General features: G+C 40.0%; 1 protein-coding gene and 1 pseudogene across 55 annotated transcripts in view; one reads left to right on the top strand and one right to left on the bottom strand.

Moving 5' to 3' along the window:
• The window catches only part of PTPRD (protein tyrosine phosphatase receptor type D), a 2,298,757-nt gene that overhangs the window by 1,884,668 nt on the left and 398,160 nt on the right, over window positions 1-15,929 (top strand). The window lies entirely within an intron of this gene.
• On the bottom strand, window positions 14,441-15,059 carry RPL18AP11 (ribosomal protein L18a pseudogene 11; annotated as a pseudogene).

Raw genomic sequence — 15,929 nt, 5'->3', positions numbered from 1 at the left:
TTTAGATTATGAGTGTTATCTCTATCATTTAAGTATCCTTTAAAAGATAAATTGCTTGGGATGATGAAAATGTTCTTTTTTTTCGAGATGGAGTTTTGCTCTTGTTACCCAGGCTGGGGTGCAATGGCACGATCTTGGCTCATCGCAACCTCCGCCTCCTCGGTTCAAGCGATTCTCCTGCGTCAGCCTCTCTAGTAGCTGGGATTACAGGCGTGTGCCACCACACCTGGCTAATTTTTTTGTGTTTTTAGTAGAGACAGGGTTTCTCCATATTGGTCAGGCTGGTCTCGAACTCCCGACCTCAGGTGATCCGCCCGCCGTGGCCTCCCAAATTGCTGGGATTACAGGCATGAGCCACTGCGCCTGGCCTCAAAAATGTTCTTAAGTTAGATTAGAGTGTTGGTACTGAGTATAAACATAATATACTAAATACCATTGAATTGTATACTTTAAATGGGAGAACTTTATGGTATTTGAATTATATCTCACTAAAGCTGTTAAAACAAGGAAAAAAAACAGCCAGTTGTGGTGGCACATATCTGTAGTCCTAGCTACTTGGGAGGTTGAAGAGGGAGGATTGCTTGAGCCCAGTTTAAGGCCATAGTGACCTAGGATGACATCACTGCACTGCAGCCGTGTGACAGAGAGAGACTCTGTCTCAAAACAAACAAACAAACAAACAAACAAACAAAAAACACCTAAACCAAAACAAAAAGCAATTTCTGCTTACCCTAGTTCTTTGGTTAGAGTCCCTTTAGTATATGCAATCTGAAAGTAACCTGTATGTTTACATGATAAACACGTAGCCATGTTTATCAGCCTTCATTGTTTCTCTTTTCTCTAAATTAGTAGAGGTGTGGCAAAATTACTCCCTCTTCCTTCCTCCCCTCACTTTAAAGTAGCTAAATTAGCAGCATCCAGCTGTCTGAAGCAAGGAAAGTATTCCAGCTATTTTACTGATCCTTTAGCCTCATTGTGGAGTTTCTGTGGCTTTTTGAATTAATTGCTCCCAGCAGAGCTGTAGCTACCTAGTAAGATTAAGACTCTGTCACAAAATCAACACGTGTACATTTCAAAGCATTTTTTATTGAGTATAGTAGGACTTGCTTTTTTAAACAATTCCAAAGTGTGACCTGTTTGTTATCTCTATTTGGGAATAGGCCCTAAACTCTAAGGATGGAACAATTATCAACAGTATTTGTGAACTAATTCTTATTATTTGTAATAGTCTGGTGGTATTTGATTCTACTGTTGTGTGATCTCCTGGTTTTATTCCCTTAACATTCTTAACTTCTTTAATTTTCCTCTCATTCTGTTTCTATGTACCTGATCTACTTCTTTTTCTTTTCCCTTTCTTTTTTGAGACAGGGTCTGGCTCTGCTGCCCAGGCTGGAGTAGTGCAGTGGCACAGTCTCCGCTCACTGCAACCTCCACTTCCTGGGCTCAAGTCATCCTCTCACCTCAGCCTCCCTAGTAGCTGGAACTACAGGCACGCGCCACCATGCTTAGCTAATCTTTTTTTTTTTTTTTTCTTGAGATGGAGTCTCACTCTGTCACCGAGGCTGGAGTGCAGTGGCACCATGTTGGCTCACTGCAAACTCCATCTCCTGGGTTCAAGCAATTCTCCTGCCTTAGCCTCCCAAGTAGCTGGGATTACAGGTGCCCACCACCACACCTGGCTGTCATATATATATATATATATATATATATATATATATATATATATATATATATATATATATATATTTTTTTTTTTTTTTTTTTTAGTAGAGACCGAGTTTCTCCATGTTGGCCAGGCTGGTCTCGAACTCCTGACTTCAGGGGATCCACCTGCCTCAGCCTCCCAAAGTGCTGGAATTATAGGCGTTAGCCACCACACCCGGCCTTCTTGGCTAATTTTTATATTTTTTTGTAGAGATGGTTTTACCATCTTGCCCAGGCTGGTCTCGAACTCCTGAGCTCAAGTGATCTGCCAGCCTTGGCTTCCCAAAGTGCTGGGATTATAGTCGTGAGCCACCACACCCAGCTGTACCTGACCCATTTCAAGTAACCTTGACTTGGTTGGGAGCCCCATCCCCTCCTGCCTACGTAGATGTGTTTCTTGTTAATTCAGAAACTCCAAGCCAGCCTCTATCATGAAGTGAAGAATTAAAGAGAAAGGTCCTGTGATTGGATGGAGATACCATTTTAGAACCAATTCTTTAACCTAAAATTTAGTATATTCTTTTTTCTTCAGTTTGCTTTAGCTTCACTTATTTCTTCACTAAACTGTGTGTGTGTGTGTGTGTGTGTGTGTGTGTGTGTGTGTCTGTCTGTCTGTCTGTCTGCTATGTGGAAAGCTCTGTGTGAAGTGGTGGGAATATAAAAATTTTAAACAGTGTGGGCCTACACCAGCCTGTAATCTATCTTCAGAATTCATAGCTAGTGTTTAGGATGCTCTCAAGCAATCTTCTCAGACTTTGTCTCTCGGCAGTAAGTAATGCATAAAGAATGTGGACCCTGGAGCAGAGTGCTTGTGTTCAAGTCCTGCTTCTGCTGTATAATTACTCTGACCACAGACAGGGTACAAATCTCTATGTGTCTCTCATCTGTAAAATGAAGATAAATATAGCACACACTTGATACAGTTATCACAAGGACTAAGGAAATAACTGTTTGTAAAGCATTTTGAATAATAGGATTAAATATTCACTAAATGTTGTTAGTTGCTATTATGCCTTTTTTTCTCATTAGTTTGTGTCATTTCCAAATTAGAAGCATCTTTGTTTAGATCTCTGTTGGCATATATTATCCCATTAACTTCACAATTTGAGCAGAATCTTTTTAAAATGTAAATATGTATATTTATATACATTTATGATTTCAAGGGACATTGACTGATTGGCTCATTCATGTCTTTCACAGTCCCATTAATAAATGTTTATTGGACACATTTCCCGTGCCAAGCATTGAGTTAACTACTGAGGATAAAATGTGGATTAAAAGCAATATGATCCCTGCCCCTAAAAAGCTTAAACTCTAGTGGCATAGCCAAATATTTAACATTAATTTTTAAAATTTACATTTTCTAACAGTAACAAGCATTAAAGGGAAGAAAATAAGCAGCCAAGTGGCTCATCTGTTCTGAAAAGTAATCCACAGCTTTCCTGAGGGAGTGATTTATTTTTTCTATTTTGAAATAATTTTACACTTAAAAGACATTACAACAATCATACAGGAATTTTCCATGTAGCTTTCATTCAGTTTTCCTAATATTAATATATTACATAATGACAGTACATTATCAAAACCAGGAAGTTAACATTTGCACAGTACTGTTAACTAAACTACATGTGTTATTTAGATTTTACCAGTTTTTACATGCACTTATTTTTAGCTATTATTATTATTTATTTTGGACACAGGGTCTCACTCTGTTATCCAGGCTGGAGTGCAGTGACGCGATCTCGGCTCACTGCACCTTCTGCCTCCTGGGCTCGGGTGATCCTCCCACTTCAGCATCACTAGTAGCTGGGATTACTGGCACGTGCCGTCACGTCCGGCTAATTTTTGTATTTTTTTTTTTTAGAGATGGGGTTTCCTCATGTTGCCCAGGCTGGTCTCAGAATCCTGGGCTCAAGCTCTCCACCCACCTTGGCCTCCCGACGTGCTGAGATTACAGACATGATAAAAATAAATGAGCCTGGCTAAGTGGTGGAGACTGGGTAAGACAAGGCTCCATAAACCTTGTTCAAAATCTTGGTTTTTATTCTATGAACTGCAGGAATCACTGACTTATTTTTAAGCTGCTATAGGAAGACATTTACAACTTTAAAAGAGCAATGAGGCAGCATGGTGGAAAAATTCTTTGGAGGGAGGCCAGCCAGAGTGGCCTTGAGATCTGTTAAGAGGCTAGTTGGAAGTTACGGAGTAGATGTGGTACAAGGGACCAGGGTGATAGAGGTTTAAGGAGGCTAGACTGCTTGACACTTAAACATTTTTTAAAATTGACCTTTGTGAAGAAGCATTATTCTAAAACTGAACCACCAACAGATTGTTAAAATTTAGAGTGAAGGAGAAAACCATGTTAAGAAGGGACCTAAAGTGTATTCAGTACCTTATAAGTAATCCTTTGTTTTTAACATGGCATTTAAAAAATTCCCCCCAAATTTATCTTTACTCAGTCTTGTAATTTCACTTTTTAATCATGAAGTTCAGATAGTTTTATCTAAACTTATCTTTTTGTTAATATCTGTTAAAAATGTGGAATCCAGAATCAGTTTAAAACAATGAAGTTCAGTGCCTTACTACAAAAGACATTACAATTTAGCTTTGTTCTCTCATAAAAGTTTTAAATTCACTGTACAATTTGCAATAGGTTTTCAAAAATCAACATAGTACTGTGGCAGTTATTTACAGTAACTACAGTTATTAAATGTGGCTTTAAGATACACTAAGTACTTAAATCGTCAGTTTAAAAAATAGCACACAATCTATTCCTTTTAAGCTAAAAATACGGAAAGTATAACAAATCTACTAAACCAAGTATGTTTTCTTAGTTTTTTTGTGTGTAAAGATAAATATATAGAGAAACATATACTTAAACCTTTTTAAGATGCTTATAAAGGAGTGAGAGAAAAATAAAATGCCATTGTTTGTCACTAAAAGTCATTTAAACCTTTAATCTACAGTGATTTTAGGTTGATAGAAACTCCTCTAATATCTATACTTATCTTTTAAAACAAATTTCAGTAACATTTCATTTAAAAGTAATAATACTTTTCATTCAGCGCATGACTACAGTGTGCCTCCAATAAGCCAGATCCAGATTCCTGTTACCACAGACTTTATATTCTAGTTGGGATGTTGTGGAGAAAGGAGCAGTGCAGCAAGACATGGCTATGGGCAACAAGTCACTGAACGGCGTGACTTTGGAGAGTGATAAATGCTGCAAAGATCGTAAAACAGCATGATGTAATATGAGAGTAAGAGAGGATATGAAGGGAGAGGATAGGTCTTGGTTTGGTTTGTCATATGTCAAGGAAGGTGTTACTGAGTGAGATACAACACTTGAGCCGAAGAATGGGAAGGGTCCAGCTATGAAAAAATGGAGTTCAGAGCATCCAGGCAGATGGGGGAATGAGTGTAAAGACCTTAGTGCAAGGAGGGAGCCTAGTGTGTTCAAAGGACAAAATAAGGTCCAGGAGACACATCATGGGGCCCTGGAGGTCGTATAAAGGGTTCGGATTGCTGGGCTAGGTATAGGAGAGTATGTAGGGAAACACATATATTATTGGGACATCTATTTATTAAACTTGAATTAGGTACTACTGTTCTCTACTAGGACAAAATGTGTATATATTTTTCCACAAATAGTGCATTGAAGGTTTGATACAACCTCCTGATCAAGTTATAAACTCACTGTCTAAACAGCTTAACTGAAATTTTCTTTGCACCAGCCGATATAGACTTGCAACACCAAAGACTTTGGTAAATAAAAGCACAAATGTCTGCTTTTAGCTCGTTATCTCTGGTCAGTTTTATTTTTCTTTTAAAGCAGATGATAGTTTTACATTGGAAACATGCAATTAAGTCTACACTTTCCTTCATCAATATCCATAGCTGCAGATAGTGAAGGACGGTACATTTGTAAAGTAAGGCTGTTATTGGAGGGTGATGGTCAACATAGAATTGCAGGGAAGAAAGGAACTTCAATAGGGCTTTTCCCTATATGCTTCCATTTTGTCAAAATTACAGCAATAGGATTCCTAAGTGATTTGTTGAAGTCCCTATATAGATTAAAGCTTTTTAATAAAATATTTCCTGGTAAACTTCTTCCATTTAAGAAAAAAAAAAACCCTTTATTGTTTATATGATTTAACATATTTGGATTTATTTTAAGACCAATGGGAATGTAAGGTAATACATAAAATGATTATTAAACCATAACTTAAATGTTTTCTCTAAAATAGTACATGGTGTTAGTAACCAGATTTGCCTTAAATAATGGCTCCCTTGCCTACCAGGAGCAATTTTCTCAATTCTCCTGGGAGGATAATTGAGAATAGGTAGGAGAATTCTGACCCTTTGGCAATGCTCACAGCTCTCACAGGCTCCTGTGAAGTTTAAATGAGATCCTGAATGTGAAGTCCTGTGAGGTTCAGTTTTCATTCTGTTCTTTCTCTCTGTACACACACACACACACACACACACACACACACACACACACACAGAGTAATACTTAATGTATGGAGAAATCAGCTATTTAACATTTTTGACCTATTGAGATGATTTTTCTTATCAAGGAATTCTACTCAGGAAGCAGCTTACAGTCCAGTTGTGACAACCCAGTGGTCTCTCAACATTGAGAACTGTCCCCTGAGGGGGGCAAAATCACCCAATTGAGAACCACTGATGTTGCTTGTGAAAGCTTTGGAACAGAAGGTTGGAGCAGAGGTTAGGAGAGATAGATAATGCCCTTCTAATTAATATGGGGTTTGGAAGGGAGAAATTTTGTTAGAAATATGATAGACCTTTCACAAGCTCTTGAAATCAGCTGTGCGAATTGGGAAAGAGAAATCGTAGTTCTGTGTAATATCTGTAAAACCAGAAGCAGATTGCCTTATCACTTTATGTCTCAGTTTTTGTTGTCTGGAGTATTAGATGATAATTATAGGATTGCTGTAAAGACAAAAGCAGGTTAAGCAATGTAAGGTGTTTAGTACTATGCCTTGCACATAGTAAATGCTAAATAAACATTAGCCATTATTATAAACTATTTTATGGTATATTAATTTTGTTAATATTTTATTTTTATCAATAAAATTAATTTTATCTTAATTAATTACCACAGTGATTGTGATACCTTTCACTTGAATACTTGAATAATGATTTAAACACTTTATCTTTCTTTTTTTTTTTTTTTTGAAATGGAGTCTCACTCAGTCGTCCAGACTGGAGTGCAGTGGTGTGATCTCGGCTCACTGCAACCTCTGACTCCTAGGTTCAAGCGATTCTTGTGCCTCAGCCTCTCGAGTAGCTAGGATTACAGGCATGTGCCACCATGCCTGACTAATTTTTGCATTATTAGTAGGGATGGGGTTTTTGCCATGTTGGGCAGGCTAGTCTCGAACTCCTGACCTCAGATGATCCCCCTGCCTCGGCTTCCCAAAGTGTTGGGATAACAGGTGTGAGCCACTACGCCCAGCCAGTTTAAACACTTTATCTTCTTAATCTCATTTGTTCCTGAATATTCTAAGTGTAGGCAACATAATTTTTATCCTCCTCACTTCTCAGATTAAAAAAAAAAAAAAAAATCCAAGGGTCAGAGTAGATGACCTGCCTAGAGCAAAAAGGTGAATAGGTGATGGGGAAGGACCTAAAACACACACTCATGATTCCCTGTCCAGAGAAGAGGCAGAACAGCTGAAAAGAGCAGGCAAGAGAGCTCAAAATGCACAGCAGCCAGAGGGCCCAAGAGATGCCAGTGGGCATCAGGTCCAGAGTTATCCAGGTTCATTGTAGTTACTATGCCCCTCATTGATAGTCATCTTCAGGCCCTAGAGTCATGGAGGAAAGTTATGTCACAGTCACAGCTTACACACTGTGTAAGAATTGAGAAGCACTGAGTGGCTTTTAGAATGGCTTCTAATTTCAATTAAAAAAAAACACATCAATTTGGAAATTTTTGATTTCTGTGTGACTAGTGTTTCACTATAAAATGATTTCCATTCTTTTATTAGGCTTTCTTGTTCTTATTTGTCAATTTGATTATAAATTGTCAGCAGTAAGGTCTGCTTTCAAGATTTTGTCATTGTGATCATGTTGTCACTTTTTACTCATCATCATGGTGTGGTAAATTGGAAATCATGGCCAAAATATTTTACAGTTCCTCTCATCAAGGTGCAGTCCGTTTCCCCACTCCTTGAATGTGGGTTAGTCCCCTGACTGGCTTTGATCAGTAATAGGAGGGTGCAGAAGTGGTAGTACACCAGCTCTGGGCCTGGCCCTTCAGCAGCCTGGAAGCTTCTACTTTCACTCTCTGACATATTGAGTCATCATAGCAAGATGCTCAACTGCCCTGCTGAAGGGACCCCACAGAGAGGGAGAAATACTCAGCCAGCCCACACCTGTTGCAGCTGTCCCAGGTGAGGAGCTAGATATAAGAGCCAAGCCATCTTGGCATTCCAGCCAGAGTCCAGCCTCTTCTTCATGACTATAAGCCATATGAGTGACCACATGGGAGGTGGAGTTTAAAATCTTCTAGCTGAGGCCTGGAGGGAAGAATCATGTGCAAAGAAATCTTTGCCTTAAGCCATTTTTGAAGGGGTTTTTAACACAGCAATAAATAGCTGAAACACATGGTGATTACTGTTATCAAAATGAAGCATCTACCAGCTTGAGGAACAATCTTAGACCTGCAGTTTCCTCTGGAACTGTAACACAGATGGTATTCTAGATAACACACTTTTAAATGCAAGGTTTTTTTTTTTTCTTTTTCTTTTTTTTAGAGTAAATGAACACATTGATATACATTAGCTAAAGCCCTACTTGGCGCTAACATTTTAAAAGCCTTATACATTTTGCATGCCTTTTGACCAGAGGTCAGCAAATGTTTTCTGTAAAGAGCTATATGGTAAATATTGTTGGCTTTGTGGGTCTCTATCACAGCTATTCAACTCTGCCACTGTAACAAGAAAGTAGCCACAGCCAATACAAAATAAATGGGTAAAACAGTATTCCAATAAAACTTTATTTAAAAATACGTGCAGTGGGCCAGATTGTTCAAGAGTCCTAGTTTGATCACTCCTGCTTTTGACCTTACTCACCTGCAACTCCTCATCAGACAGGAGAAAGTGGAGAATATCAGCAAAGGACCTTGTTTAACCTGATGAAGTTAGTTAAAGGGAAGAGATTAGTTTGATTAGCCTCCTTTATCACTTTGCTTTGTTAGTAATGTTTATTGGGAGCAGATTAATTAGAAGAAATATGTTCAAGGAGCACATCTCTTGATAAACATAGATGTCTAATGGCGCTTAACCTTTAAAATGTATGCAGAAAAAGCTTTGCATGTTATTGCTCTTCATGTCTTTTGGGGGTGCTTCAGGTATTCAGCTGTTAGTGCCATTTCAAATTGCAAACTCCTGAAAAATGAATAATTTATCAGCTGAGGGATAGTTTTCATTGCACGGTGTGCCTGACATTTGGAGCTATGAACATCTTAAAAAAGAGGAAAAAAGTGCTGGAAAGTATTACATTTGCTTGGAAAGTTGTAAGGGGTCTGTGAAGAAACAGTTTGTAATCATGGGTCTCGAAGCCTGAGATTGGTTTCATAAAGGCAAATAAAAGCACAAAAGTCATGGTGAATTTGATCACATTATAGATGCTTCTGGTGTAGATATACTCTGTACCATTTTGGTGCTTATAAATCAAAAGCAAAATAAAACTAATGAGAAAACACCATTGATCCAGCAGCAAACGCTCGGAAATAACACTACGCTCCATCGTGCCAGCAAACTGAAACGCTTTTGTGGGAGGTGGGAATGAGAAGGTTCAGAATTGGAATCCCTGGCTCACGTGGGAAAATTTAAGAACGAACTATGGTCAGCTTGTCCTGGCAGTAAATAGGAGGCACACGTTTCTGCAGATGTAGGAAGGGCATACCTATATTCTTGTAAGGACTGAGGTTGTTTAGAATTGTATAGAGAAGGCGGACTAATTAGATTAAACAAAACTCTTGGCTTAATATGAAGGAAAATGACTAATAGTTAAGTCTATTCAACTATGGTGTAAACTCTCAGGGGAAAGAGTGAGAGCCCCACAGCATGACTCATTTGATGTAAGCAGCAGAAACCACTGTGGAGAACTACTATTTCTGAAATAATCCAAACTACATCAGAAAAGGTTATAAAAAGACTATTTAGCAACTGAACAACACATACTTCTTTTTCATTTCAATTGTTGTGATTTGGAGTGAGAGGGAAACGAGGGGTATTATGATAATTATAATAAAACAGTTACTTGCGTTCTGAGATCTAGTTTCTCTAGAGAGCTTGTAGTTTAACAAATGAATCTGACACCCCTACTGGGCAGGGAATAATTGGCTTAAATCCCTTTGGTGTATTTACTCAGGCCACTAGATTGCTTTTTCTAGCCTGAAGAAAGCTTTGACAAATTATGATCACCAACATTTTGCTAGCCCAAAAAGTGCTTTCTGATTTTCCAGCTTTACAAGCATTCTCCCCTTCTCCCTTTCTTACTTCACAGCTTTGCCTTTCAGGTCTCACCTCCTCTTCCAGGTCCATCTTTTTCTGCTGTCTTCATCCACTCTTATTTAGTGCTCACTATGTTGCAGGCATTTGAGTTACAAGGAAGATAGACCCAAGTCACTGCTGTCAGACTAGTGGTAAAGATAATTATAATAAAGGGAATTCAGGGCAGGAGGTAGATATATGCACAGGATGCTACCAGGAGCGGGTTCCTTATTGGAATTTACAGGGAATGTTCATAGGTGTGCCGGAGACAGAGAAATTGTGGAGGGCATTAAGGCAAAGCTAATGATCTTGGAACTTGTCCGGTAAAACGGTGATTCTCAACTTGATAAAACATCAGAATCACTTGGAATAGAATGTAGACATGTAGGCCCCACACCAACTAATTTAATAAAAACATGTGAAGGTGAGGATCAAGCATAGCTAATTTAAAAAATGCCCCTCAGTTTATTCTCAAGTGAGGCTGAGTATTACAAATTACTAGGGAACCCAGTGAAAGTTTTAAACTGGGAAGTGTTGTGGCCTGACTTGAATTTTCAATAGGTCACTGGCAGCTATGTGGAGGATGCGTTGGAGGGTGGAAGACCAGTTAGGAGACTGCTGTGAAGTCAAATAGAATGAGGGTCTTGAGGATCTGAACTGTATTTTTGAATATGGGATACCAAAGGACCCTATACAAAACTTATTCAAGAGGTGGAATTTGCAGGATGTCATGATGAGTTGACTTTATAAGTGCTTGATGAGTCATAGAAGGGACAGCCAGAGAGGATGAGACGTAGGTTGGGGAGGATACACTTTGTGTATTTCTCTTCCATCCCTGCTTCTCCCCCCAACACACCTAATGCACATTGATACGGTTTTTGTGTCTCTCCTAGAGGTATCATAGTTTTCATATGTTACTTTTAGATGTATTTGTCTAACTTTTCTTTCTTTAATTCTTTTTTGAGACAGTGACACACTCTGTCACCCAGGATGGGGTACAGGTGCAACCCCTGCCTTCTGGGCTCAAGGACATCAGCCTCCCCAGTAGCTGGGATTACAGGCACATGCCACCATGCCTGGTTAATTTTTTGTATTATTTTGTAGACAAGGGGTTTTGCCACGTTGTCTAGGCTGGTCTTGAACTCTTGGGCTTAAGCTATTTGCTCCCCTTAGCCTCCCAGAGTGCCCAGCCTAAAATTTTCAATTCTCATACAAGTTTATTTATTCATCTCAGATTCTGCCTCACCCCCAACCCCCTACATTCCAATACTGGGCCTTCCATACAGCCAGTGACCAGGAGAGTAACATTCATTATTGAGGTAGGCCAGTTCAACTGTTTCGAAAGTTTGTGTTGTATCTCATGAGGGAAGCCACCACCCATTCTCTTCTTCCTATTTGGGAGTGCATGCTCCGGATCCTTTGATTTTCCTAGTGCAGCTTAAAGTCTAGGTTTATATGTGAACCATCCCCTAGGTTTTACAATAATATTGAGGCTAAAGGAAGTACATCTTTGGGATGGATCTCGTCTGCGACTATAGGCTTTCAATCTCTGTGTAGGGCCTCTAGAAATTTGTAGAACTGAAATGAATAAAATTTCTCAATACCAGCAGTTTCCAGCTATTTCTGTGCTTAACAATAGGAAATGTAAGAATTGGCAGCAAACATTTGGGCTGATTCTGTTTGTGTAAAGTGAATTAGAGAATGGATTCTATTACCTAGTATCTTACACTAAAATATGAAGCAGAAGGACACATTTGAAGTACTTTAACCACAATTACATAGATACTTCTAGTGAATGTGAATTTGGGATGATGAATTATTCATTTAAATCCTTTGGTTCTCCTTGTAGGTTCTAACAATGCCAGGTTTACAGACCTTAGGTGTCTCCTAGCCCAAGGGTGGGGAGAGAGGCTCCCCCTCTCTTCTCCTGGTTTCATCCATCCTCTGGAGTCAAGTTATTAGGTTATTAGGTTGGTGCAAAGGTAATTGCGGTTTTCGCAATTAAATAGCTTGGTTGCTGGAGCTCCTTTTTTCTCTTAGGGACTGCTGTGGCTACCCAATGTGAAGCCACAGACCTGTTAAGGCTAAAGAGCAGGTGAACAGTAGTTCAGCCAGTGAATTAGCATTTCAAGGGCCAGTGCTCCAAAGGGCATTGCCCAAGTGAGCAGCTAAGTAGAAGCAGGAATTTACTCATACTGTAATGTCTGTGTACTATTTCTGTGAAAATGACTTTTGAATTGTCTGAAGGCTAAACATTTGGTGCTAAACTTTAAACTTATCTATTTTGTTGTAATTGTCTCTAGAATGTACTTTGCCTGTCTCAATATTAAAGAGATCAAATGAAACATGATTGCTGCTTGATTATTGAGGTGACACTAATTAGGAATATCAATTTATATTTTTCTCTGTTAAGAGGCCCTGAGGAATGACTGTGGTAGATCGTTGGCCTGACTGTTGCATTTTTGTAGGTCCGTATGTGTTTTATAACTTTAGTTAGAAGAAATATGGTGTGGTGGGAAGAGCATTGGTTTTTAAATAAAATGATCTGAGTTCAAATCCTGTATTTTGCTATTTACTGGATAAGTGGTCTTGGTCAAGTTTGTTAACCTCTCTGAGCATATATATTTTTTAATTTTATGCAGCTTCTATATATTCTACACCTACTGCCCGCCAGCATATCGCTGGATGCTGGTGGTATGATGGCAAGATGGGAACAGGTAGGGTCTGTGCACTCCTGTAGCTTCCAGGCTAATCTTAGGTTGCTCATCTGTGAAATGGGTGTGAGAACCTCATCCTGCAGTTGTTATGTGTTGTGTGAGAATTAACTGGGATAATGTGTTTGAGGTCCTGGCAGCGATTAGAGGCTCATAATTGGTCGATGTAGCTGTAGGATTTGCTTTTTCTGCTGAGCTTAGTTGATGACACCTTCTAATTTGCTACCTTAAATTTACAGCAGCTATTTTTTTTTTTCATAGATCTTTTGTGCATTCACATTTTAACTCACAGATATTGTTCAGGTCTTGGAAGTGTGAGCTTTCTCTCTTTCTTCTTGAATGTCTTGTATATAGGTCCTTAAGCAACTCATTCATTTCAGAGATATTCTTTTTATTCTAGGCTTTTGAGATACAACAGTGACCAAGACAGACAAAAAAAAAAATCTTGCACCATTAAGGTCGCATTCTAGGGGGCTCTAAATTATGAAATTGAACAATAAATACAATATAATAAACAATACAATTGATAAATAGGAAAGTATATTATGTGTTCAAAGGTGACCTAAGTATTATGGTGGGAGAAAGACCAGAGTAAGGGAAATCAGGAGGGTGCATGATGGGGGTGGGTAGGGGTTCAGATGTGATTTAAAATTGGGTAGTCAGGTCAGTGAGAAAGTGACATTTAAGCAAAGATTTGAAGGAGGTAGGGAAGTTAGCCATGGGGAGGAGTATTCCAGGCCAGGAAAACAGCCAGTCCAAAGACCCTAGGGCAGGACCTTGACTAGCAGGTTCTAGGAATAGCAAGGGGAATGAATGGAGAAAATGTAAAGGATTAGGAGAAAAACCTTGTACAGAGATCCTATAATGGGGAGGTATTCTACTGCGCACCAAGCTATCTGGAGGTCAGGCTTCCTGGAAGCAACAGGAGTATTTAGGAGTTTGCTAGTGATGTTGGGATTTAAGAGCCAACAGGCAGAAAAAAAAGCTTGTGCCAAGGCTCAAAGGAATATGACTAGTGTCTGCAAAGGGCAGAATAAAGGAGGCCGTGATATAAAACAAAACAAAACAAAACAAAAAAAAACCCAATAAGCTGTTAAAGGGGAAAGGTAAAGATGATTATATTTGTGCTTTGTTAGGATTACTCTGATTACAATATGGAAAATAATCATTGCTCTTGATGGCACTGATAACTGAGACACAAAAATTTTCTCCTGAAGTGATGGATGTCCAAGAACAAGTAGATTATATAGATCATCTCTTTAGGTTTGTGACCCGCTTCTCATCTGATCCACCTTAGGCTTTAATTAGGGCCGTTATTCATTATTATGGCCAATAGTAAATTTCTTGCCAGGATACTCTGACTTGTAGCATTCTGATAGGACTAACTGATTCAAAGCCTGAAATTGAGTCACTGTGTACCAAGGTCAGGCCTCACTAATTCTCACCATGGTCCTCCAAGTTATGCGTCAGTGGATAAAGATTTTTTTTTTTTTCCACCGGGGCGTTCCTGAGTTTATTTGGGGCGCACCCGGGCGAGGGCCCTGCACCTAGAAGAAGGTGTTGGGCCTCTTGGTGGTGAATCGTGGCTTGTGCTGAAGGCGCAGGACCCGGTGGGGCAGCGGGAACTTGATCTTGCAGTCGTGGAACTGCTTGACAGCCTGCCGGCGTCACTTGCTGGCCGCGATCTCTTCCACCATCATGATCTGAATGGAGTGGGCCCGGGCGCGGTGCCGGGCGCCCATGTCTCGGTAGCACTGGGTGACAGCGCCCGCGGTGGTCAGGTCCCGGTATTCCCGGTACATGTTGTGGGTGCCGCTCCGGGAGTCACAGCGCAGCCAGATCCCGAAGTTCTTCACCCGCAGCGGGGACTTCTCAAACACCTGACCACAGTAGACAGTCTCCCCTGAAGACTTCTTCATTTTCTTTAACTGAGATACGAAGTACCAGAAGCGGGACTTGGCGACGACACGATTAGGTGCAAAGATTCGCATGCGGTAGAGGGGCGGTGTGTGGCATTTGGGAGTGGGCAGGCGGCGACCCACTACTTTGTACTCTCTTAGTGTGCCCGAGGCCTTCATGGCGTCCTCTCCGCGCTCGCCGCCACCCGCAAAAGCTCAGTGGATAAAGATTTTAAGTGGACAATTGGAGACTCAGTTTAGGAGCGAACTGGATACCAAATTTCAGATCAAATGTTTGACCCTGAAATTCTGGCACTGACAGTTATGCAGGAGAAGTTGTGTTTTGTTATCGTTGTTGTTGTTTTTAAGTCTTTTTAATCCTCTCAGATTCTGTTTTATAAATAAAAAGCACACACACATACCTAGATTTCTGAGATTTTTATTTTGAGATTTGTAACATATTAAAGAATCAGGCTGGGTGCGGTGGCTCACGCCTATAATCCCAGCACTTTGGGAGGCCGAGGCAGGGGGATCACCTGAGGTCAGGAGTTTGAGACCAGCCTGGCCAACATGGTGAAACCCCGTCTCTACTAAAAATACAAAAATTAGTCAGGCGTGGTGGCGGGTGCCTGTGGCCCCAGCTACTCGGGAGGCTGAGACAGGAGAATCACTTGAACCCAGGAGGCGGAGGTTGCAGTGAGCCAAGATCGTGCCACTGCACTCCAGCCTGGGCAACAAGGAGGGAAAGTCCATGCCCCCCACCCCCCAAAAAAGAATTGATACGATCTTTGCATATTCAAATTTTATTAACATGAAAAGACTGAATACAGTAGAATATGTAGGAGATCAGCTGTTTGATTAGATAAATTATCCCCTGCTGGAACTACCTGTAAAATTGCTGTATTTTCAGTGCATTCTGTCTCTAGCTTTGTAAATGACTGTTGTTCTGGATCCTGGAGGCAGTATCTGTCCACTTTCACACTTTGAAGAAGCCTTTACATGCTCATCCTGCCCAGCTTCTTTCCAAAAAGAAAAAAAAAAAAGGCACATAGTGACGAAAATAACACCAGTAAAAAGTTTTTACA

The sequence above is a fragment of the Homo sapiens genome, chromosome 9, assembly GCF_000001405.40.
Source record: "Homo sapiens chromosome 9, GRCh38.p14 Primary Assembly".
Taxonomy (NCBI): domain Eukaryota; kingdom Metazoa; phylum Chordata; class Mammalia; order Primates; family Hominidae; genus Homo; species Homo sapiens.
Note: the sequence above shows the minus strand (reverse complement) of the source record. Positions and strands in the feature narration are given on the sequence as shown.